Here is a 23389-nt window from a genome sequence, read left to right on the forward strand (position 1 = left end):
TTAGTGAGGGAAAGAAGGTATTACCTGAAAATGTTCATTTTAAAGTTAGGTATTTTAATAGTCGGCATCACACTCCCTTTTCCTCAGTCTTTGAAAGCTGGATTGGTGGCCTAAGGTGATGAAATTCAAACCTAATACAAATGCAGCACTCCCATATCATATCCCTTAACAGTCTAAGGAGAATTGCTGAATATAATGGGCCCGTCTGTTCTACTGCTTCATCTACCTGGTCAGCTCTCAAAGGAAAACAAAATCCATACGATCATCGAGGTCTAGAAATTAACTTTTATTTTAAATCTGTCAAGAACTCCTGGCAGTTATTAATTTTATTAAAATGATTACATATGGCAAAACAAAGAATAGAGGTAATTCTATTTCTCTACAACATAAATTATGAGTTAGATTTTCAGCTGCCGGCTCAGCATTGTTCAAGATTCTTTTAAAGGACTGGGGGGATTTTAATATCCAGAAAATGTTAAAGCAGCAAAAGAAAAAATAAATTAAAAAGTCATTGCAATTGGAGATATTACCAAGGATGTGCTTACTATAAAGTCTTCTTGACATGTTAATTATAAAATCTTCCAACCTTTGGTATTAAAAAAAATCATGTGAATAGTTGTCCTATATTGCCTTGTCATCTATAATTTATAACATAGAAGAAATTTGCTGATTTTTTTAAAAAGATGGCAAACATGAATCATGACTCATTCAAATAAAATACAACCAGCATTCATTCATTTAACTGAAATATGTCAAAACAAAAACACTTTTATTAACATATTTAATACCAGAATAACTTATAATAGTATGAAAAAGAGTGAAGTATTTGTCTTTAGTTTTCATTGACATGCTCACATTTTGGCATTTTTGTATTGTTTTGCAAAGATTCCAAAGTTTTTATCAGAGATCTCTAACTATTTAAGGATGCAAACCAAAAGAACTCATACTTCATCTGATCATACAGTCATAACTTATATATTTTGCTTTGCGCTTACTGTTACTGCAAACAGCAATTTAGAAAACAAAGTAAAAATATATATATATACACAAAATATTTTTATATCAAATTATCTTCATTACACTAAATAAACCCAATCCCCAAATGTTATGTTACATGAAAAAGTGTCCTACAATTTAGATCAAGACTGATACTGTCCATCAACTAGAGCAGCCTTTGGTTTTAAAAGCATTTTGCAAAATAAAGAAAAATGTCACCACTGGCTGCACTATTGACCCTCATTCACACTGACAAAAATGCTTTCCAGTTTAAAAAAAAAATAGATTACATACCCAGAAAAAAAAAATCCCATCATAAAAAGTCAAACCCTTTTTACTTCTCTGTAGCACATACCCTCTGTTATATTTGGCATTTCCACTGCTTATTCAAGTTTCAGGTCTTCCCAAGCTGATTGGAATATTATTGTTTAGTTGAGAAAGATAGTCTTCTTTCTTGATATTGATTATTCTCACTCAATGGTAGACTAATTTAGAAACAAAATGTTTTCTTTCAATGCATGATTTCACTTCATTTTTACTTTAATGTCCAACTTGGCAAAATTCAAACTGTTCAATGTTTTGTTTTCCATATGTTTTAAATTTAAAAATCAATTTTATGTATGTATATGTATAGCCGCACAGAGATACATTTCTTTCATTCTGTTGTTCTCGCTGCAATACAAATTGTCCATCAGCAATTGTAATTTGAAACAAACCAAATAAAAGATTTTTAGTCATTCCATACGAACACAGTTTCCATCACAAAAAGACAGTGAGCTCTAATGCAAACAGGATTATGTTTTAAAACTACAGGTTTAGTTTTACACAGGAAAATTTTGAGTTATTTGTATAATAAAGTTTTTTTTTAAACTTCAGCAGAACTTGAGAAACAAATCCAGATTAATTCTAAAGGGCTTTGTGGTGCTTTCCAACAGTGCTTGAAAAAAAGTTTTCCTGGTCACCATGTGTTCAATGAAATTTTAAATTAGCTTGAAGGAATCACTTCTTAAATGTACAACGTTCTGTGGATCGCTGCACCTTGAATTTTGGAAGTTTGTAACATATCAAATATGCAGGCAAGATACATGCATAAAATTCTCACCGTCACTCTGAAAAGCACATTGAACAATTTTCAATAATGTAGACGTTTTTTAAAAGGAAGATTTCATTTGGGCTGAACAGATATCCAAGTTTTAACATATGAATTATTGAATGTATTTCAAGGGCTTTCAGCGATTCTGGTTTCAGTCCTGGAATGATTAGGCCCGTCTGGAATGATGCACACAGGCTAATAAGCATATGGCGTTGGCATTTTGAGGCATAGCTTGTTCAACTATGCCCACGTTGGAGCTTATTGTCGGGAAGCAAGGCACTTACTGTAATGGTAATGCAGATGTTTTATGCATAGTTTGAGTAACATAAAATAAGTTAATATTTTTGATTAAAATGAGTTTTTTATAATTTATATGTCTTTTATAGAAGCAACTAAATGATATATTTGGGATAATTAAAAATAAGAAGAGGTTTGGGAGAGAGTCATTTTCATCCCTGCTTCGGCTCTTAGGATGAGGGTTGATGAAAACACCGGAAAGAACATCCATTGGATCTGAAAAGCAACAAGCTCTTAAAACTGCTGCACCAGCGGCACTTTGACAGTCTTTACTTCTGCTATATGGGACGACTTCTGGATGATGCAGCTGGTAGTTCCCTGCAGTTTGTCCTTTCCCTGTGCAAGATTTGTTAAGGCCATAGCTGCGTTGATCTCCTTCCAATACGTGTCATCCTTGCTTGGTCCTTTTCTGTTAGCTGCGCTGGAGTTAAGCAAAACAGAAAGTAAACGATCAAACTCACTGCAGTTTGCATTGAAAATGCCATCGCTGAAAAGCAGGAACGGCCAATGGGAACATTTTGCTCACCTTTCACCCTTATTGGATCCGTTTTCCAGAGTGTCTGTAAAGAAAAGCAAAAATTCAATTATTTTTATGTTTTTCCTTTCTTTTCTCATCTCAGGAGTTTCATCACTAATGACCAGAAGTAAAAGTTCTTCAGGAAATATGGTTGAAAATTAGTTCGCTTTTAATAAAGATAAAGCAGTTTATATTAAGATGCAAAAAAAATTGCAAAGGGGCAGAAGTAAGATGACAGTGGGTAGTAAAGAATAAAAGGTAGCTCTCATAGATACACAAAAATCTGAAGTTATTTACTCTGAGAAATTGGGCCTTTTGGATCAGGAGACAAACAGCATAAGGAAAAGAGTGCTGACTGTACCTGGGGCCAGGTTCTGGCCTTGCCCTACTACCCACTTGCAGTGTAACCTGGGGGCAGATTATGACCTCCCACAATGTCAGGGATTCAGTTCTCTAACTATAAAATCAGGGAGCTTTGGCTGGGCACAGTGGCTCATATCTGTAATCCCAGCACTTTGGGAGGCCAAGGCGGGGGATTGCTTGAGCCTAGGAATTCGAGACCAGCCTGCGCTACATAGTGAGACCTCATCTCTACTAAAAATAAAAATAAAAATAGCTGGGTATGGTGGGTGTTCACCTATATTCCCAGTTACTCAGGAGGCTGAGGTGGGAGGATTGCTTGAGCCCAGGGGGGTGAAGGTGCAGTAAGCAGTGATTGTGCCACTGCACTCCAGCCTGGGCAACAGAGCAAGACCCTGTCTCTAAGAAAATTAAAATAAAAAAGGGGGGGGTTCTAGAAAATCTTGGGGGTGCTTCTGGCTCAATGATTCTATAATTTCATGGTTATCAAATTTTCTTTTTTCTTTTTCTTTTTTTTTTTTTTTGAGATGGAGGCTTGCTCTGTTGCCCAGGCTGGAGTGCAGTGCTGTGATCTCGGCTCACTGCAACCTCCACCTCCCAGGTTCAAGCAATTCTTCTGCCTCAGGCTCCTAAGTAGCTGGGATTACAGGCACCCGCCACCAAGCCCGGCTAATTTTTGTATTTTTAGTAGAGACAGGGTTTCACCATGTTGATCAGGCTGATCTCGAACTCCTGACCTCGTGATCAGCCTGCCTCAGCCTCCTAAAGTGCTGGGATTACAGGCGTGAGCCACCGTGCCTGGCCAGTTATCAAACATTTATTTCAGACAAAGGATGGGCAAATAGTTCCCTCTGCTAGTTAGCAAATGAGTAACGGACCCAATGGTGATAGCAATACAGGATTTCCTGGCATATTTATTAGAAGAAGCAGGCATTGGTCCTCAATTTCCAAAACAACGCCTCCTCCTGCTGCTGCAGGAAATGAAAGTTAGGATGCTAGCTTTTGCTTCTGCACTCACATCTTTGGTTTAGATTTGCTGCTTCACTCAGAACACGAATGTCTCCCAACACCACATAAATATAAAGAACCCACGAAAATGGGTTCTCAAGCTCCTTAGGCTAAAAGAATCTGGTATGAGTAACACAAAAATTTACCTACTGAAGGGAAAGATGTAGGGTGGTAGGAGAGAGGCTACTGGCATGGCATCCGAGCAAAGGAGTGGGGTTGAGACTCCAAAACCAGATAGTGGGTAAGCCCCTCTTCATCATCATCGTCATCATCATCCACAACAATAATCAATGTTACTGGGGAGCTACTGCACTTGGCACTGTGCTGCACACAGGAAACCTGGAAAACGCAAGGCCCTCTGCTAGTTCTACGGCCTTTGCAAAACTGTCTTTTCCTGCCCTTAGTCCTCTCCCTTCCTTTTACGCCCCCTGCCCCTGCCAACCCAATATTTCTCACAATTTCTTTTTCTCTGCACTGCTCAAGGCTAGTTAGGAAATGCAACCTAATTTCCAATTCTGAGCTCTAAGACAGTCACAGAACTAGAAGAGGTCTGAGAAGAATAACGTCAACATGATCGTCATATAGTCTAACCAGGGCAAAATTTCCCAGGAAGAGATAGTCAAGAGAAAATAAATTATATGCCCATGAGGCAGCCAAGCTTCGATGCCCTCTCTGAAGGAAAAGAATGGGGAAAGCCTGCTGACCTATCCTGAGTTAAGCCTTAAGGTGTAGACCACGAGACAATCATGGGTCACTCTGAGCTCTTTTCACAACCCTTCACGTAAGGAACTTAAATAAACAAGGCGAACAAACAAAACAAAAGGATTTAGTGAACAAATGGCAAGGTTGTTGTGAAGAACACATGAGATCATGTGTGTCTGGCCCAGAATGGAACAACAAGTGTTAGTTCCTTTGGTCTCCTTTCACTGACTACTCAGGCAGCATTTTATAAGGTTTTAGGGATCCTTTGGGGGAAATAATTGGATCTGTGAACAGTTAGATCGTTACCTTCTGCAGCTCTGCCAGCTTCTGGCTCTTACAGGGTCAGCCTGGATGCTTAGCTATACCTCTGCTACTTTCCATAATTTTGCAATATAAAGTAACTCATGTAAATGCAGGAAAAGAATGATCATTTGTAATTTACAGAACTCTGATATGCTGATTTACAGATCACTTACTACGTGCCAGGCACAATTCTGAGTACTTTGTGTCCTAATTTATTTACTACTACTGACTTTGTGTATGGATAGCATGTCTCCATAGTATCTGCGAAGTCATTTTTTATTGAGTTCTATTCTCCTATCTGTAAATCTTCACTCAGTAAGGACAGAGACAAGGCGCTACCAGAACAGAGAACAAGTCAAGGCTTTCGTTTGGGAGAAGGAAAGCCAGCAAATTGGACATTTTACAGAGGAAAAAAAAATGAGTTAGGCCTTTGCTCCGTTTTGCCCACAAATTGCAACAATTCTGTTGCCAAAGTGAAGCAATAGGTTATGGAGATATTTATTCAATGGAAAGACTTGGCAAAAGCAGAATAATTTCCGTGAGGCTTAAATAACGTTAGGGAAATAACAAAACATAATTTAGAGAAGACTATGTAACTGACACTCTGGCTCCCAGATGAAGCCATCTCACATAGGCGAAGGAGACCAGAACCCTGTTCCCTACCTGAACTGTCAATCTCAGAGTGGTTACTGCACAGACAAGAAGAAAGCCTGTGGCTATCAAATATGTTATGGGTTGCAGAACCCGTCAATGTATCAATGCCATCAATGCATGGAGCCTGCACGTGGAAGGAGAAGATGTAATTCACGGCTCAGGTCCACGGAGAGCTTCTATTTAAGATGAGGAGTCAACTTGTATGTCTTGCAGCCCCATGAGCTCCTGGCTGTAGCTAGCACTCCCTGTGGCTGACTCCTTGAACTTGTTCCACTGAGAAACACGTTTACTGCAGCCAACTGTGAAATTATAAAATTCTGCTTACTCTTTGGGTGTATGTGTTTGACACTTTGGTGCCTATGAAAATACCTTTGAAGTGCAAAAACGTAGACTCAAGTCCCCATTCAGGTATTCTTAATTGGGTTTTACAAATCTCAGCAATGTACTACACAGGATTCAATAGACTGAATTCTGTATTTTATTCTTCAGGCAGACGGGCACATTCAATGTCAGTAGGTATAGATTGGGTTCCTCTCCAATAACAGAAAAAAATCATCTTACATCACACACCAGGGCCTGTCGGGAGGTGGGGGGCTGGGGGAGGGAAAGCATTAGGAGAAATACCTAATGTAAATGACAAGTTGATGAGTGTAGCAAACCAACATGGCACATGTATACCTATGTAACAAACCTGCACGTTGTGCACATGTACCCTAGAACATAAAGAATAATACAATGAAAAAAAGAATTTCTATTAAAAACAAAGTAATGGAGAATAGTGTGAAAACTGCATACAACAAAGCTCAATCTCAAAGACTGAAATCAACAAGGAAAAGCTGCTTACCACCACTTGGGAAGGGCCGGGGGTGGGCAGTCTCTGTGTTCAAAGTGATTTTAGTTCAAAAAATGAATTGATGTTAGAAGGGCACGCTTTTCCTGAGGCTGTTACTGGTGGGCTGCTCAGTGTCACTAGGGTATTTTGAGTCCAAGTGCCACCTCCTGTGGAGTAACGTGTTCTGGTTCCCAGAATAGCCAACCCGGCAAAAGGAAGACAGCAAACAGAGCCCTTTGACTCTGAAACATTTGTGCTTTTTTAGGAAAGCAAGGACTCTAAAGATCTGGGAGTCTGGGGAGTTGTTTCTTTTTTTTCTATTTGTTGTGCTAAGATGAAATCTGGAGAAATGTCGCAGCTTTTAGAGAACTGATATCATTTGATGGGAATTCAGAAAATTTACAATCTTCTCATTATACTAACTGGTTGTATTAAGTGTTGTAATTTTTTTTTCTTATGCTCTTTCCCTTTGAAGTAAAAACTTATCAGCTCTTCTCTGGCTCAAGTGTGCTGTGTGTTGTGTCTTTGCAGCTCATGGTCAGTATTTGAGGAGCAGTGGGTCTGTGTACCCACCACTGGCGGTCATAGGGGTCCTGACACATCTGTCCACTGCTGACAGGTGGTCTCACCGGCTCCACTCGAGAAGTGGCACCTAGTAGCTCCAGAAACAATCAGACAGGAGAGGGAAGGATTGTGCATGTTGTGAAAGAGGGAAAATGCAAGTTGGAGCTAGCTCCTGGTATGTAGACTCTTGAGAGCAGTTCATTAGCATGCACAGACTCAGGGTCTGACTGCCCCACATTTGGCTCGGCTATATCTCTTACTCTGCAAGTAGCTTGGCTCAGCCTCTCCAAAGTCTGAGCTAAAATGCCTTTTTAGATTCCAAGGTTCCAAAAATCAGCTACACTGTCAATTACCATAAAAGCAACTGGTTGGCAGGAACAGCTTACTGAACCAGCCAAAAGAGCGTGTTTTAAGACCAAAAAAGAAAAGAAAAGAAAAAAAAAAAAAAAAGGTGTGTAGTTAGGAAAATCTTGGATGCTGCAAAACCCAAACCATGTTGAAACTTAAAGTGGGGCTATCCTCAGTTTGGACATGTGTTTCCTTCTACAGTTAAGTAGAGAAAAAATTATACAGAAAACTCAGTTCCAATGCAACTTGAGATAGCTAAGCAAAAAGCTCTGTGGCCAACTGTGAAAAATGCAACTCAGAAGCACATTAATTCTGATATATATTCCTGATGTTATATTTGTAGCCATAAAAAGAGACCAAAACGTGGCCAAATCTTTTTCTCTGAGGTTTTTAAAAAATTTAATAAATAAGCTGTAAAGGGAAAAATGTTTTTGTTTCACAGATGCCACTGAAACGTAAGTAAAATGAGGTGAGACTTAGAATTCAGGTTTTTAAATTAAATAATCCAAAAATTATATATGTTTCCCTAAATTAAAATGGAGGGAGTAGAAGAAAAAAAACTTTTGAGATCATGGAAAGGGAAGTAAATGAGTCAGTGAGAAATCATTACTGAAATAGCTCGGCCAAGGGGGAAAACAAAGACAGACCACTAGGATTATTTGAGTGGGAAGAGGAAGCCACTCATATTTTAAAACAATAAAAGAAGGTACAGTTGTGCGCCACCTAACGATAATTCGGTCAGTGGCAAACCATACATACGACAGTGGCCCATAAGATTATAATGGAGCTGAAAAATTCCTATCACCTAGTGACATCGTAATGTGGTCATGCCACACATTGCTCATGTATTTGTGGTGATGCTGGTGTAAAGAAACCTACTGAGGCTGGGGGTGGTGGCTCACGCCTGTAATCTCAGCACTTTGGGAGGCTGAGGCGGGTGAATCACTTGAGTTCAGGAGTTTGAGACCAGCCTGGCCAAAATGGTGAAATCCTGTCTCTACTAAAAAATACAAAAAATTAGCCAGGCGTGGTGGTGCATGCCTGTAATCCCAGCTACTCAGGAGGCTGAGGTGGGAGAATTGCTGGAACCCCGCAGGCGGAGGTTGCAGTGAGCCAAGATCTCGCCATTGCACTCCAGCCTGGTGACAGAGCAGGACTCCATCGCAAAACAAACAAACAAACAAACAAACACACCTACTGAGCTGCTAAATGTATAAAGTATAGCACATAAATTATATACAGTACATAATACTTGATAATAATAAATGACTATGTTACTGGGTTTATGTGTTTACTATATTTTTTATTGTTATTTGAGAGTGTGCTCCTTCACCTTAGATTTAAAAAGTTAACTGTAGCTGGGCATGGTGGCTCACGCCTGTAATCCTAGCACTTTGGGAGGCCGAGGTGGGGAATCACTTGAGGCCAGGAGTTCGAAACCAATCTGGCCAACATGGTGAAACCCTGTCTCTACTAAAAATACAAAAAAATTAGCTGGGCCTGGTGGCGGGTGCCTGTAATCCCAGCTACCTGGGAGGTTGAGGCAGGAGAATTGCTTGAACCTGAGAGGCAGAGGTTGCAGTGAGCCGAGATTGTGCCATTGCACTCCAGCCTGGGTGACAGAGCAAGACTACGTCTCAAGAAAAAAAAAAAAAGTTAACTGTAAAACAGCCTCAGGCAGGCCCTTCAGGAGGAATTCCAGAAGAAGGCATTGCTATTATCAGAGATGACAGCTCCATGCGTGTTATTGCCCCTGAAGACCTTCCAGTGGGACAAGACATGGAGGTGGAAGACAGTGATATTGATGAGCCTTACCCTGTGCAGGCCTAGGTTAATGTGTGTGTTTGTGGCTTAGTTTTTAACAAAAATGTTTAGAAAGTAAAAATAAAAAATGAAAAATTTTAATAACAGGAAAAAGTTTATAGAATAGGATATAAAGAAAATATTTTCATACAGCTGTCCAATGTGTTTGTGTTTTAAGCTAAGTGTTATTACAAGAGTCAAAACTTTTTTTAAAAAGCGTATAAAGTAAAAAAGTAACAGTAAGCTAAGATTAATTTATTGTAGAAGAAAAAAATTTTAAAATAAATTTAGGGTGGCCTAAGTGTCCAGTGTTTATAAAGTCTACAGTAATGTAGAGTAATGTCCTAGGCCTTCACATTCACTCACCACTCACTTACTCACTCACTCACCCAAAGCAACTTCCAGCCTTGCAAGCTCTGTTCATGGTAAGTGCCTTACACAAGTGCATCATTTTTTATTTTTTACTAGCGGTCCTCAACCTTTTTGGCACCAGGGCCTGGTTTTGTGGAAGACCATTTTCCCACGGACCAGGGATGGGGGTGCGTTTCAGGATAAAACAGTTCCACCTCGGATCATCAGGCATTAGTTAGATTCTCAAAAGAAGCGCACAACTGACCAGGCGCAGTGGCTCGTGCTTATAATCACAGCACTTTGGGAGGCCGAGGCGGGTGGATCACAAGGTCAGGAGTTCGAGACCAGTCTGGCCAATACAGTGAAACCCCGTCTCTACTAAAAATACAAAAATTAGCCAGGCATGGTGGCAGTCACCTGTAATCCCAGCTACTTGGGAGGCTGAGGCAAGAGAATCGCTTGAACCTGGGAGGCAGAGGTGGCAGTGAGCCGAGATCTCATCGTGCCACTGCACTCCAGCCTGGGCAACAGAGCTAGACTCGGTCTCGAAAAAAAAAAAAGAAAAGAAAAGAAAAGAAAAAGAAGCGCACAACTACATGCGCAGTTCACAATAGGTTTTGCGCTCCTGGGAGAATCTAATGCCACCGCTGATCTGACAGGAGGTGGAGCTCAGATGGTAATGTGAGCGATGGGGGAGCAGCTGTAAATACAGATGAAGCTGCTTATCTCCTGCTATGCAGCCTGGACCACTACCGGTCCGTGGCCCGGGGATGGGGGGGCCCCTGTTTTATACCATATTTTACTGTGTCTTTTCTATGTGAAGGTATGTTTAGATACATATTTTTAATGCTTACCATTGGTTCCGATTGCCTACAGTAGTCAGTACAGCAATCTACTGTACAGGTTTGTAGCCTAGGAGCAATAGGCTGCAGCATGCAGCCTCGGTATGCAGAAGGCTATGCCGTCTAGGTTTGTGTTAGTACACACTACGAGATTCGCACATGATGAAACTGCCTGATGATACACTTGCATTTCTTAGAGCACTTCCCTGCTGTTAAGCAACACATGGCTATATTCACCTTGCTCATGAGGACTGGCCTAGTGCCCTTGCAGAGCAATTAAAAATCCGGGGCCTGTGATAATGATCCAAAGCAAGTCAGAGCTCCAGATGCTTGAAAACTGTGCTTCTGCACACCTATTAAGTTTGGGGGCCATTACTTTGATAGCAGGTGTGCAGAGCCTGCGTCTAGTGTGTTACTGACCTCAGAAGTCCAGAGAGCCTCTGGGGATACCAGATCAGTTTCTGGAGTTATTCACATACTTGGAACAACTGAGGATAAGAACAAGACTCTGGTGAGTAGGGCAGGTATAAAACCTCCCTGAAGATTCTGAAATACCAATTGCTGTGAAGTTGCAGTGCCTTACCAAATGACCCCCAGGGCTCACAAGCAATCCCCAGGGCTCCCTGCTCACATTGCTGCAGTCTCCATCTCTACTTCTCCATACCTGGAGACTGAAGCTGGGCTTCCATACCCATCTACAAATTGGTTCTACAGTGACTATACAGTTCTTTCTTTTTATAAATAGCATTTGTTGGCTGGATACAGCAGCTTATGCCTGTAATCCCAGCACTTTGGGAGACCGAGGTGGGAGGATTGCTTGAGCCCACGAGTTTGAGACCAGCCTGGGCAACATATTGAGACTCCGTGTCTATTAAAAATTTTGAAAATTAGCCAGGCATGGTGGTGTGTGCCTGTAGTCCCAGCTACTTGGAAGGCCGAGGTGGGAGGATCATTCAAACCTAGGAGGTCAAGGCTGCATTGAGCTGAGATCATGCCACTGCACTTGGGCCTAGGTGACAGAGTGAAACCCTGTCTCAAAAAAGAAAAAAATATATATATATACAAACACACACACACACATATATAAATATAGCATTTGTTGTTTTTCTTTAATAAGAAAGTAATACAGCTTCCCTGCAGAAAATCTAAGAAAAAGTGTAAAATAGAAAATAAGGGGCAATCAGGGATAACTAATATTAACATTTGAATGTATGGCCTTCCAAACAAGTATTATACACATTTTTTAAAAAGGCATAATTCTGGACATGTGTTATAACCTGCATTTTCTACTGAACTTCTGTGTTCACCTTACCTTTTGTTAATAAATAAGACAATAATTTACCCCTTGGCCTTTCCCAGTGTGGCAGTGGATTTTGCCTGTGAAATAGAAACAGCCTGAAAGAATTCAAAATCCAGCTTCATCCAACTTAAACTTGAATATTAAGCAGTGCAAATGTTGCAAGAAGGAATTATCTTTAAAACAACCAGGGACTGGTTTCGTGGAAGATGATTTTTCCACAGACCGGGGAGCGGGGGGTTTGAGATGAAACGATTCCACCTCAAATCATCAGACATTAGTTAGATTCTCACAAGAAGTGCGCAACCCTTGTATGCACAGTTCACAATAGGGTTCACGCTCCTATGAGAATCTAATGCTGCTGTTAATATTTATTGAATGCTTATTCTATGCCAGACACTATGCCAGAAACGATACAAATGTTATTTGGTTAAATGCCTGCAATGACCCTGTGTGACAGCACCACCACCCTTATTTACAAATGACACTGTAGCTTAGAGGGGTCCAGGAACTTGCATCTTTGCAAGCTGTGAGACTCAGTGCCAGGTCCCCTGGCCCTGGCCCTGAAGGTCATGTTTTTAACCCCTGCATGGCATTATCCAAGTAACCTCTGTCAATAAAGCCACCTGCAAAGACCATGGCAAGGCTTAATGCATTGTATATGAAAGCCTATGGCAACAGAACCTATTAAAAATGGATTAAACTTTTCTCTGTACTTTTTGCTAGGATATTAGACCACAAAGAGACCAAAACCAGATTTTTTTCTCCTTATGATTTAATATGTAATATCAAGGAATCTGTCCAGATTGTAGAATAGGGAATTCAAGTAAGTTGTCTTGAGATCTTCTTTATACTTTCAGCAGAGTGATTTTTTTTTTTTTTTTTTTTTTTGAGACGGAGTCCCGCTCTGTTGCCCAGGCTGGAGTGCTGTGGCACGATCTCGGCTCACTGCAAGCTCCGCCTCCCGGGTGCACGCCATTCTCCTGCCTCAGCCTCCCGAGTAGCTGGGACTACAGGCGCCCGCCACCACGCCTGGCTAATTTTTTTTGTATTTTTAGTAGAGACGGGGTTTCACCGTGTTAGCCAGGATGGTCTCAATCTCCTAACCTTGTGATCCACCCGCCTCCGCCTCTCAAAGTGCTGGGATTACAGGCGTCAGCCACCACACCCGGCCCAGTAGAGCGATTTCTAATCGAAGTGTGATATCCCTGTAACCGCTCCTCTATAGCCCTGAGTGAATAACTGCTAAACAGTTCCTAGGCAGCTGCTGCTGCGTCACTTTCAGAGGAAATTTTTGTGGTTATCCTCTCTTTGGGACAGTTAGAGCTTTTGAATGAGTAAAGAGAAATCATTCTAAGTGATATTTGCCAAAAAAAAGGAAGAAAAGAAAAACCACCCAACAACCCATAACAGTTATTTGCTGATGACCAAACTCTTCTACCAGTCCCACTGACCAAAGTGAGTTTTACTTTAAAACTTTGGCATGACAGGAAGAGACTGCAACTAAAGCCTGGTGAAGATCAAGGCTACTGAAGATGAAAGAGTTATTAGAAGCCTGGATTTTGTGGATCTGGAGATAGGAGAGCTTTGGAAGCTTTCTAAATGGTGAGAAATGAATAATAAATAATAAATGAATAAAATGAAACCCACCCCATCTTCATGGATGGACCTAGTATTTTTTTTCTTCTTACAATAGACTAGCTAAATTATTTATCCTCGGGGTATAAACAATGAGAGGCATCCGAAATTATTTCAGAATTTGAAGAAGGAAAGAAAGAAAGAAGGAAAGAAAGAAAGAAAGGGAAGGGAAGGGAAGGGAAAGGAAGGAAGGAAGGAAGGAAGGAAGGAAGGAAGGAAGGAAGGAAGGAAGGAAAGAGGGGGAAGAGAAGAGAAGAGAAGAGAAAAGTCTTTTCTTTCTTCTGAGACAGTCTTGTTCTGTCACCCAGGCTGGAGTGCAGTGGTGTGATCTCGGCTCACTGCAACCTCTACCTCCTGGGTTCAAGCGATTCTCCTGCCTCAACTTCCTGAGTAGCTGGGATTACAGGTGCCCACCACCATGCCCAGCTAATTTTTGTATTTTTAGTAGAGATGGGGTTTCATCATGTTGGCCAGGCTGGTCTCAAACTCTCAACCTCAGGTGATCCGCCCGCCTTGGCCTCCCAAAGTGTTGGGATTACCAGCATGAGCCACCGTGCCCAGCCAACTCTTTTCCAAAAATAAAGCCAGTGTTGCTTCCAGCCATGACTTCCATATTCTGGCCAGAAATTATTTTCCTTTCTGCCACCCCTCATGTGGGCTGGCCCCTCATGATGGCTAATGATACCCAGATGTCCTGGATCCACAGGGTCCTCACCTTCAACTGCCTTTCTGTCAATGCATAGTCCCCCCAACTAGCTCCTGCTAGAGAATAAAAATTAAAAGCCACACCTCTCTCTTTTTTTTTTTTTGAAACGGAGTCTCGCTCTGTTGTTCAGGCTGGAGTGCAGTGTGGCACGATCTCGGTTCACTGCAACCTCCGCCTCCTGGGTTCAAGTGATTCTCCTGCCTCAGCCTCCTGAGTAGCTGGGATTACAGGCACGCACCACTACGCCCGGCTAATTTTTGTATTTTTAGTAGAGACGGGTTTCACTATGTTGGTCAGGCTGGTCTCGAACACATGACCTCGTGATCCACCCGCCTCGCCCTCCCAAAATGCTGGGATTACAGGCGTGAGCCATTGCGCCCAGCCCACACTTCTCTATTTTGAACCAACAGTGAAGAGCTCCCTAGTTAAAATGGGGATATTTTCATATCTCGAAGCTCTCAGGCTAGGTTATAATTCCATTAATAACAACAATAGGACATCTTTCTTTCTACAAGAGTACCAATGCCTCGGGTCGATGTGGGAAAGTGCTGCTTGGCTCCTTATGTTAGGGAGCTACAGCCCTGGCTGGTGGCTCTTTAGTCATTTCCTGATGTTTATTTTTTTCTGGTAAAATGCACAGCTCTTCTGGCCTCGTCAGTCTGGGCCAGTGGAGGTGCAGGAAGCGGGACTTGCAACTTAAAAGTAGCTTTTCAGAATAAACAGACCACCACCCAGTGATCGTTTTCACTAAGCACATTAAATATTCTTGATGCTAACTCATTCAGCATAGTCCCACTTTCCAAGATTGCTCCTCTGTGATCTCAAAGGCTCCATCTTCCCCAAGTTTAAAATGTTCAGCCTGAAGTTTCACTTTGAAGATTTGAATGCAGTCTATGGGGAGGCCAGTGTCAGCGGGGGATGAGAAAGAGGGTCTGGAAATGTTAAGTATTCTCGTTTCTATTCTTGGCTCTTGGTATTCACCACGAGGGTGGTCTGGAGGGAGACTTAGAGGCCGTGTAGTGTAATGGTCAGAGTCCAGACTCTAGACCTAGACAGCATGAGCTGCACCTCTGCTCTCTCACTTAGCATCAGCGTGCCAAGCTGGCCAGCTGCTTGACTTCTCTGCATTTCATCTTTATCACCTATTAAATGAAGATAATAGTACCAGAGTCATAGGGTAGTTATGTGGACCACACGAGTTCATATTTTATAAAACACTTAGAAGAGAGCTTGAGCACATATACCAAGCACTATGGAAGTCCTTGTTAAAAAAAAAAAAAGAAAGAAAAAGTTAACCTCCTCTCTCACTTTAATTTTCTACATCTAGAAAATGGAATTAAATGCAGTCACCAGAAAAATTAGTGTTATTCGATGATTTAATATGAAAACCATTATGTAAGGAGAAAATATTTTAACTCTGGGCAAAAGCCCATCAGCTCAGATTAATGGATTAAGTGTGCAGAATCTATCATCTTCAAAGACAAAAATGGCTTTTCTGATGGTCCTTTGTGCCAAAACACCACAACATGCCAAGACAAAGAGACCTGGAGCCACATTAAAGAATATCTATTAGCTTTAAGTGTCTAATGGATTTTGTTACTTCATTTTCTCAAGGGGAATATTGGAGATGTTACCCAAAGTGTTTCATCCATGAAACCTAGATTTCCAGCCAAAGTCTCAGAAAATGACTTCCTAACTATGCATGAATAACTTCTGTGTGTGCTTGTATGTTGCAAAGAGCATTGTTTATAAAAGCACTCCTTTTTACATGCAGGTTGAGCTACTAGTTCTGAAACCTAAATGCATTTATAGTGCTTCTTAGCTAAATCTTAATTTTGTCCCCACATCTTAATATTGATATTCATCCTTTCAGTTCTATATAGCCCAAGGGTTATTTCTCCCAAGATTCACTTTATAGTTACCACACTGCAGTTTTAGAAGGGTTGACTTGTTTAATAAATATACAGCTGAATGGTGTTAGGCTACAAAGGACTAATGTGACTTCAGCAAAAAAAGACTTTTTAAATGGAAAAAAATGTGCATTCATGATCTAGAAGTTGGCTGGAAAGTCTGTCTCCTCCATCTATTTTCAAACTCCTCAGTATCTCTGAAAAACCATCAAAAAGTATTTTTCCTTTGATACATGAACTGTAGTGTATCTTTGAATTGGCTCACATTATTGCCATGCTTTTCAAATTCCTCAAATTACCATCTCCAGAAATGACACTTCAGACTAGGAAATCTCCGTGTTAAACCTGTCTGACTGATTAACACCAGAAATGACACAATGAGAGAGGTGACGCTCACAAACTTCTTGGCTCTTCACAAGAGCGGCAAACGGCAGTTTTTCTACTCACTGTTCATCTGCTGTATTTACTACTAGAAAAAACCCCCACATTTTAGACATAAGATGAATACTACTACCAAGTCTTTCTTCTACATTTTAAATATGCTGCAATGTTCTTAATAAACTTAAACCTTAAAACTCTACTTGGCATGTCGGTGTTCTGGGTTCACACATTTCTATGTTTAAAGGTTCTGCAATTTTCTGCTTTTAATTTAGGAACAGTATTTAAAGCCTAAACTGGGGTGAAGGTATACTTTGAAATGAAAATTGGGAAGATTTCTGCTGATGGTATCGAAGGGTATAAATTAAAAAAGAACCATGCATAAAGGCGGGGTAAAACTCCTTGCCCGTGGGAAGGTGGCTGGAGCTAGAGGTCACAGAGCACCCCTAGTCTAGCAGTCCTCCCATGACCCCTTTTGACCAAAAGAACACTAAATAACTCATCTCCACTTTAAATCTTGCCAAGAGATCTACTCTAAATTTTGCCCAGGGATGTACATCCCAAACCAAGAAGAAAGGTAGCCTCCAAAAAAAGGAAGAGACCGGTCACCCCTACTTTTAAATGAGAACCACTCTGCTCCTAGAGAAAGATTCCCTGCCAAGGAGAACCGGTTCTGGCTGAAGGAAGCCACACGTGGGTGAGTGGGGACAGCTCTTGCTAACCGGAAGCATCTGATTATGTTCCTTTCCTATTAATCTATTAAATACACACCTATTAAATTCCGATGGCATACAGATCCTTTTTCCATGATTACCACCTAAACTTAGAATACAAGATATTGCTAGAAAAAAGTAAGGGATAAATTGCTTAAACCTAACAAGTCAGCCGGGTGTGGCGGCTCACGCTTGTAATCCCAGCACTTTGGGAGGCCGAGGCCAGCAGATCACGAGGTCAGGAGTTGAAGATCAGACTCACCAACATGGTGAAACCCCGTCTCTACTAAAAATAGAAAAATTAGCTGGGCATGGTGGCATGCACCTGTAATCCCAGCTACTCAGGAGGCTGAGGCCAGAGATTCATTTGAGCCCGGAGGCGGAGGTTGCAGTGAGCCGAGATGGCACCACTGCACTCCAGCCTGGGCGACAGAGTGAGACTCCATCTCAAAAAACAAAACAAAACAAAACAAAACAAAAACCTAACAAGTTCATCTTTTGGGAGGAAAATAAAAAACATTTCATAGATCCAAAACCACCTGCTTATACAGTATTTGTCTGAGGCACTGGATTTGTGGGAACATAGTGGACTCACTAAGTACGTGACCTTGGGCAAGTTATTTACACACACTATATCTAGGTTTCTTCACCTATAAAATGGGGATCATTGTAACACCTACTTCGTACGGTTGCTGTGGGGATAAAATGAGGTATTAAATGGAAAGCTCTTGAAACAGTGCCCAGCATATAAGAAGGGCTGTGGCACTCTGCTCCCTGACTTGAAGAAGTCAGGGTGCAAATCATCCTTTGTTAGCCAAGGGGCCACTCCAAGCTCCATAAAGGTACTAAGCCCCCTACTGGGTCTCTCCTGTCATACCTTAGGCCTTGATATGGTTTGCCTGTGTCCTCAAATCTCATCTTGAATTGTAATCCCCACATGTCGAGGGAGGGACCCAGTGAGAGGTGATCAGATCATGGGGTGGTTTCCCCCATGCTGTTCTCATGATAGTGAGGGAACTCTCATGAGAGCTGATGGTTTTATAAGGCAATTTTCCCTGCTCTTGCTCACTTTTCTCTCTCCTGCTGCCTTGTGAAGAAGGTGCCTGCTTCTCCTTCCGCCATGATTGTACATTTCCCGAGGCCTCCCCAGCTACACAGAACTGTGAGTAAATCAAACCTCCTTTGTTTATAAATGACCCAGTCTCAGGTAGTATCTTTATAGCCATGTGAGAATGGAAAAATATAGGCCTCTTACTTATTTTCTTAGGATGCTCTAGAGAAGAGAATGAAATTGTCTGGGGAAGTCTTCAAAGGGGAAGGTTCCTGGATCCCATCTCTGAGATTGTGTTCAGGTAGGTAATAGCTATGGCACTTGAACAAGCTCCTCAGGTGTTCCGATGTTGAGGGTGAAGGGGCTACCCTATGAGAACTATGGTGTGGGCCATTCAAAATGGACTGTTTTAGTAAATAACCATGCTGGAATTCCTGGTGTTCACTACGGTATAGCAGCACAAGGCACTATTACCTTGTCATAGTAAAAATATATATATATTATTGGATTTCTAATATTCCAGTAAGGGCCAACTAGCCATCTTACGCCTGTATCGAATGAACCAAGATTTTTTTTTGTAATAATTTCAACTACTATTTTAAATTCAGGAGGTACATATGCAGGTTTGTTACACAGGTATATTGTGTGATGCTGAGGTTTGGGGTATGAAGGATCCTGAAACTCAGTAGTGAGCACAGTACCCGATAGGCAGCTTTTTAGCTTTTGCTCTCCCTCTCTCCACCCTTTTGGAGTCTCCAGTGCTTATGGTTTCCTTCTTTGTGTCTATGTGTACTCAATGCTTAGCTCTAATTTATAAATGAGAACATGTGGTATTTGATTTTTTCTTCCTGTGTTAATTTGCTTAGGATGATGGCCTTCAGCTGCATCCATGTGGCTGCAAAGGTTATAACTTAATTCTTTTTTATGACTGTGTAGTGTTCCATGGTGTATATGTACCTCACTTTCTTTATCCAATCCACTCTTGATGGACATCTGGGTTATTTAATGTGTTTGGTATTGTGAATAGTGCTGCGATGAATATACAAATGCATGTGTCTTTTTGGTCGAATGATTTATTTTCCTTTGGCTATATACCCACTAATGGGATTGCTGTGTTGAATGGTAATCCTGTTTTAATAAACCAAGTTCTTGATTCTAATTAAATATGAATAGCAGATATAACACTTTTATAAGAAAATATCGCCCAGAAATTGGTAACTCCAGCTTCAAAAATACTATTTATTGTCTATCTTTGCTTAAATATGGATATAATACCTCTAAAAATTCTTTTTGTCAGGTGAGGTGGTAAAACATCTCAGTTTACTTGCATTTCTTTTGCCCAGTTCTTACAATTTTTGCTAGGCTATGACATATAAATCTGGGAGAATTATTACTAATACAAACTTGAGAACAAAGGAATTCAAGATTTTCATTGTAATATATTACAAGATACTTCAGAATATGCAAATCACCCTCCTTCTTCTAACTGGAATAGCCATGGTAATGACATACTGTTATGAGATCTGTGTTTTCTGTTTTGAAAATAAACATGTGGCCCAGTGCAAAATTGTTGTGCTGGTAGGGCCTTTTATTTTTATAAGTCTTTGACTTTTTTCTTAATCTTTCCTTTGGGAAAGGAAGGTGACAAATAGTATTCCACATGGAATCATCAGAAACTAATTATTCAACCTAACATAGAATTTCTTTCTAGGGTAGGATAATAAGCTTTTATAAACTAAAGTGAACTTAGTTTCTGCTGCTCTTGGAATATTTTATTCAGGCCTGCCTCAAAAAGAACAGAGCATTGTTTTATTATACACTGACATAGTGATGAGGTTTTATGAACAGAGTATTTGGTTATTTTTAGTCTGTTATTTCTAGGTCAGCCCTGCGAGGTAGCTGGAGCTACATGGTCTCTAAAGAGGAACAGGGACTAGGGTAGAGATCCACCAGGCGAACAGCTTGGCCACTGCTCAACCAAAACGACTGAGGCAGAGCACAGAGGTTAGGATCCTGGATTGAATTGTGATGGAGGATAGAGAGGATCCTATCTAGGCCTTCTCATGGCTTTGCTTTTGAACAGCCACAGAATGTCATAGCATCAGCTTCTGGAACCATAGGGCTGAAGAGGACTAAACTGCTAACGGTGGCCATCTGAAAGCCACCTATATGTCTAGGGACAGAGCTTGAGATCTGAGAACAACTCTTGGCTGTGTGTGTGCTGAGAGATGAGCTGGGCTTGTGCCTCCCCCAGAGCCTGTGGGGTCATTCTATGCTGAGACCACTCCTCCCAATGGCCAAAAATTAAACATAGCAGGTCTAAAACAATAAGGATCTATACTACAGAGTTAAGAAGTGTAATATGCAGGAGAGGTATTTCTGTAGGCATCACCAGGCATTCAAACTACAGTACTTAAGCATGAATCAAAGAAACTATAAAGAAAGAAAGGGAAAGAGAGAGAGAACAAACACCATGATGATCTTAGGTTTAAAAATACCCCCAAACAAGAACTGAATAATTACCAGGAAAAGGCAAGAACAAGTATAATACACAGAAAAGTTTTTGCAAGGCCATTTCATGGAAATTTAAGTACAAAAGAATGGCATGTTCATATGATTTAAATGAATTTAAATGCCAAACGACCATACATACTGTGTTACTGATGTCACATATGGTTATAAGTAAATAAGACACCTATAAATAAAAAAGAAAACATATTTGTTTTAGTCACTAAAAGTTACTGATTTAGAGAAATGGCCAATGAATGTAATACTTCTGGGGGATTAAAAGCAATTTTCTGCTTTTTCTCATCTTTTCTACTCTTTGTTATATCTTTTGATGACTGTTATGGTTTGGCTGTGTCCCCACCCAAATCTCATCTTGAATTGTAGCTCCCACAATTCCCATGTGCAGTGAGAGGGACCTGGTGGGAGGTAATTGAATCATGGGGACAGGTCTTTTCCATACTGTTCTCATGGTAGTGAATAAGTCTCATGAAATCTGATGATTTCACAAGGGGTTTCCCCTTTTGCTTGGCTCTCATCTTCTTTTGCCTGCTGCCATGAAAATGTGCCTTTTGCCTTTTGCCATGATTGTGAGGCCTCTCCAGCCACGTGGAACTGGGAGTCCATTAAACCTCTTTTTCTTGATAAATCACCCAGTCTTGGGTATGTCTTTATCAGCAGCATGAAAATGGACTAATACAATTATAGAGAGAAATGTAATATTTTAACAACCACTAACATACTCTTACCAGTTTTAAAATAAACAACAGAAATAGAGGGAAAGGCAGAAAGCTGTGCAAAAGAGAAAAGGAAGCAAACATGACATTTCCAGAACAAACCAGATCCATTTATCTATACTTTTTGGGTTTGGTTTTGGAATATACTACACATACTCCAAAGTGCTTTAAAAATTAAATCCCCAGGCTGGGCACGGTGGCTCACGCCTGTAATCCCAGCACTTTGGGAGGCTGAGGCAGGCGGATCACGAGGTCAGGAGATCGAGACCATCCTGGCTAACACAGCGAAACCCCGTCTCTACTAAAAAAAAAAAATATATATATATATATAAATTAGCCGAGTGTGTGGCGGGCGCCTGTAGTCCCAGCTACTCGGGAGGCTGAAGCAGGAGAATGGCGTGAACCCAGAAGGCAGAGCTTGCAGTGAGCCGAGATCGTGCCACTGCACTCCAGCCTGGGCGACAGAGCGAGACTCTGTCTCAAAAAAAAAAAAAAAAATTTAATCTCCCAATTCTAAATTCTCTCCAGGCATCCAGAACTAGATGGTGAATGAGCAATGAGAAACAGATAGTAGTTACTGCCTTGAATCAAAGTATCATACAAAAAAGCCTGGCACTCGTACACAAGAGTAAACAGACTACATATTTTCATCATAAAAGCACAAACAAATTGCCTTTTTTTTTTTTTTTAACAGCAGCCAGGAAAACCCTCCATTCCTTGCAAGAGTCCCAAGCTCCTGCAGGTGTGTGGTAGTTCTAGTTACTTTTCCACCACTCAGAAGGTGGAAGCAAGAGTAATTGTTATAGCCCAGCCTTGCATTCAAGGGCAGAATGGTTTCTCACAAGAAACCAGGAACTGTGAGGACCTCTGAGCCTCAAAATGTGTCCCAGCACCATTGCTCCTGACATCCTCTATTATTTTCAATGTCTACCCAGTTAGACCCCTCCCAGTTAATGGCCAGCAGTAGCGTGCCACTGTCTGCATTACATGTGGTTTGCACATGAGTCCGAACCCAAGGGAGCAGAAGACATCTACTGAACATAGAAGGAGAAACGCTCCTTCCCAGGCCACCCACAGTGGAAGCTGAAAACAAGGCATGACACAACACACACGAAGAAGTGAGCCACTGTCGCAGGCCTCTGGGCAATGTTAATTACACCGCCCACAGTATAAGACAAGAATAGGAGACAGGAAAGGAGAGATGCTCAGTAAGGCTTAACAGAAAAAAAAAAAAATCTCATATTTTCCATGCACTCAGTAACCAGTTCTATTATCCAGCCAATTTTCAGCTTAATTTAGGAGGTTTATAAAAATCATCCTACAAGATAGATGGTTTGTTAGGCAACTTAGTATATAGACTCTTATTTGGACAGGAAGATGCACATAAAATGAAAAATACTTCCAATGTGAAAGGAGCAAGGAATCTATATTTATGTTGACTTTTAGGAGCTCATGGAGAAGAATAAAGACAGGAGAGATAAGGGATGAGGAAGGGCCCTACTAAAGGTAAAAATGCATTTAATTAATTATTCACGTGACTAATCATAATGATAATAAAGAGAATAGAAAAAACAGAAAGTGGGCCAGAGTTGGAAAAAGATGATTATTTTTATACTGAAGAAGAAAAGGGTAATGAGAGCTGTGTGGGACAAGGGCTGGAAGCATGTATCAAAAGGTTACTTTAGAACTGGGAGTTTATGATTAATTGAAGAAGTATTCAAATGGAAATTCCATGCTAACTTTAGTAGTTATAAAGACACAGAGAAAAATAATAACCTATTAGC

At 40.9% G+C, this 23389-nt stretch overlaps 1 protein-coding gene across 7 annotated transcripts in view; it reads right to left on the reverse strand.

The window, feature by feature from the left end:
* MKX (mohawk homeobox) overlaps window positions 266-23389 on the reverse strand; it is a 72946-nt gene continuing 49822 nt past the window's right edge. For 5 of the 7 annotated variants that reach the window (NM_001242702.2, NM_173576.3, XM_047425117.1 and 2 more), the window contains exons 6-7: window positions 2913-2946; window positions 266-2807 (exon numbers count right to left, since the gene is read on the reverse strand). In NM_001242702.2, coding sequence (NP_001229631.1) covers window positions 2621-2807; window positions 2913-2946 — 221 coding nt within the window. In that variant the 3' untranslated portion in view covers window positions 266-2620. The remainder of the gene's footprint in view (window positions 2808-2912; window positions 2947-23389) is intronic. The other 2 variants (XM_017016108.2, XM_047425119.1) reach the window with 1 other exon arrangement.

The sequence above is a fragment of the Homo sapiens genome, chromosome 10 (assembly GCF_000001405.40).
Source record: "Homo sapiens chromosome 10, GRCh38.p14 Primary Assembly".
NCBI classification, from domain to species: domain Eukaryota; kingdom Metazoa; phylum Chordata; class Mammalia; order Primates; family Hominidae; genus Homo; species Homo sapiens.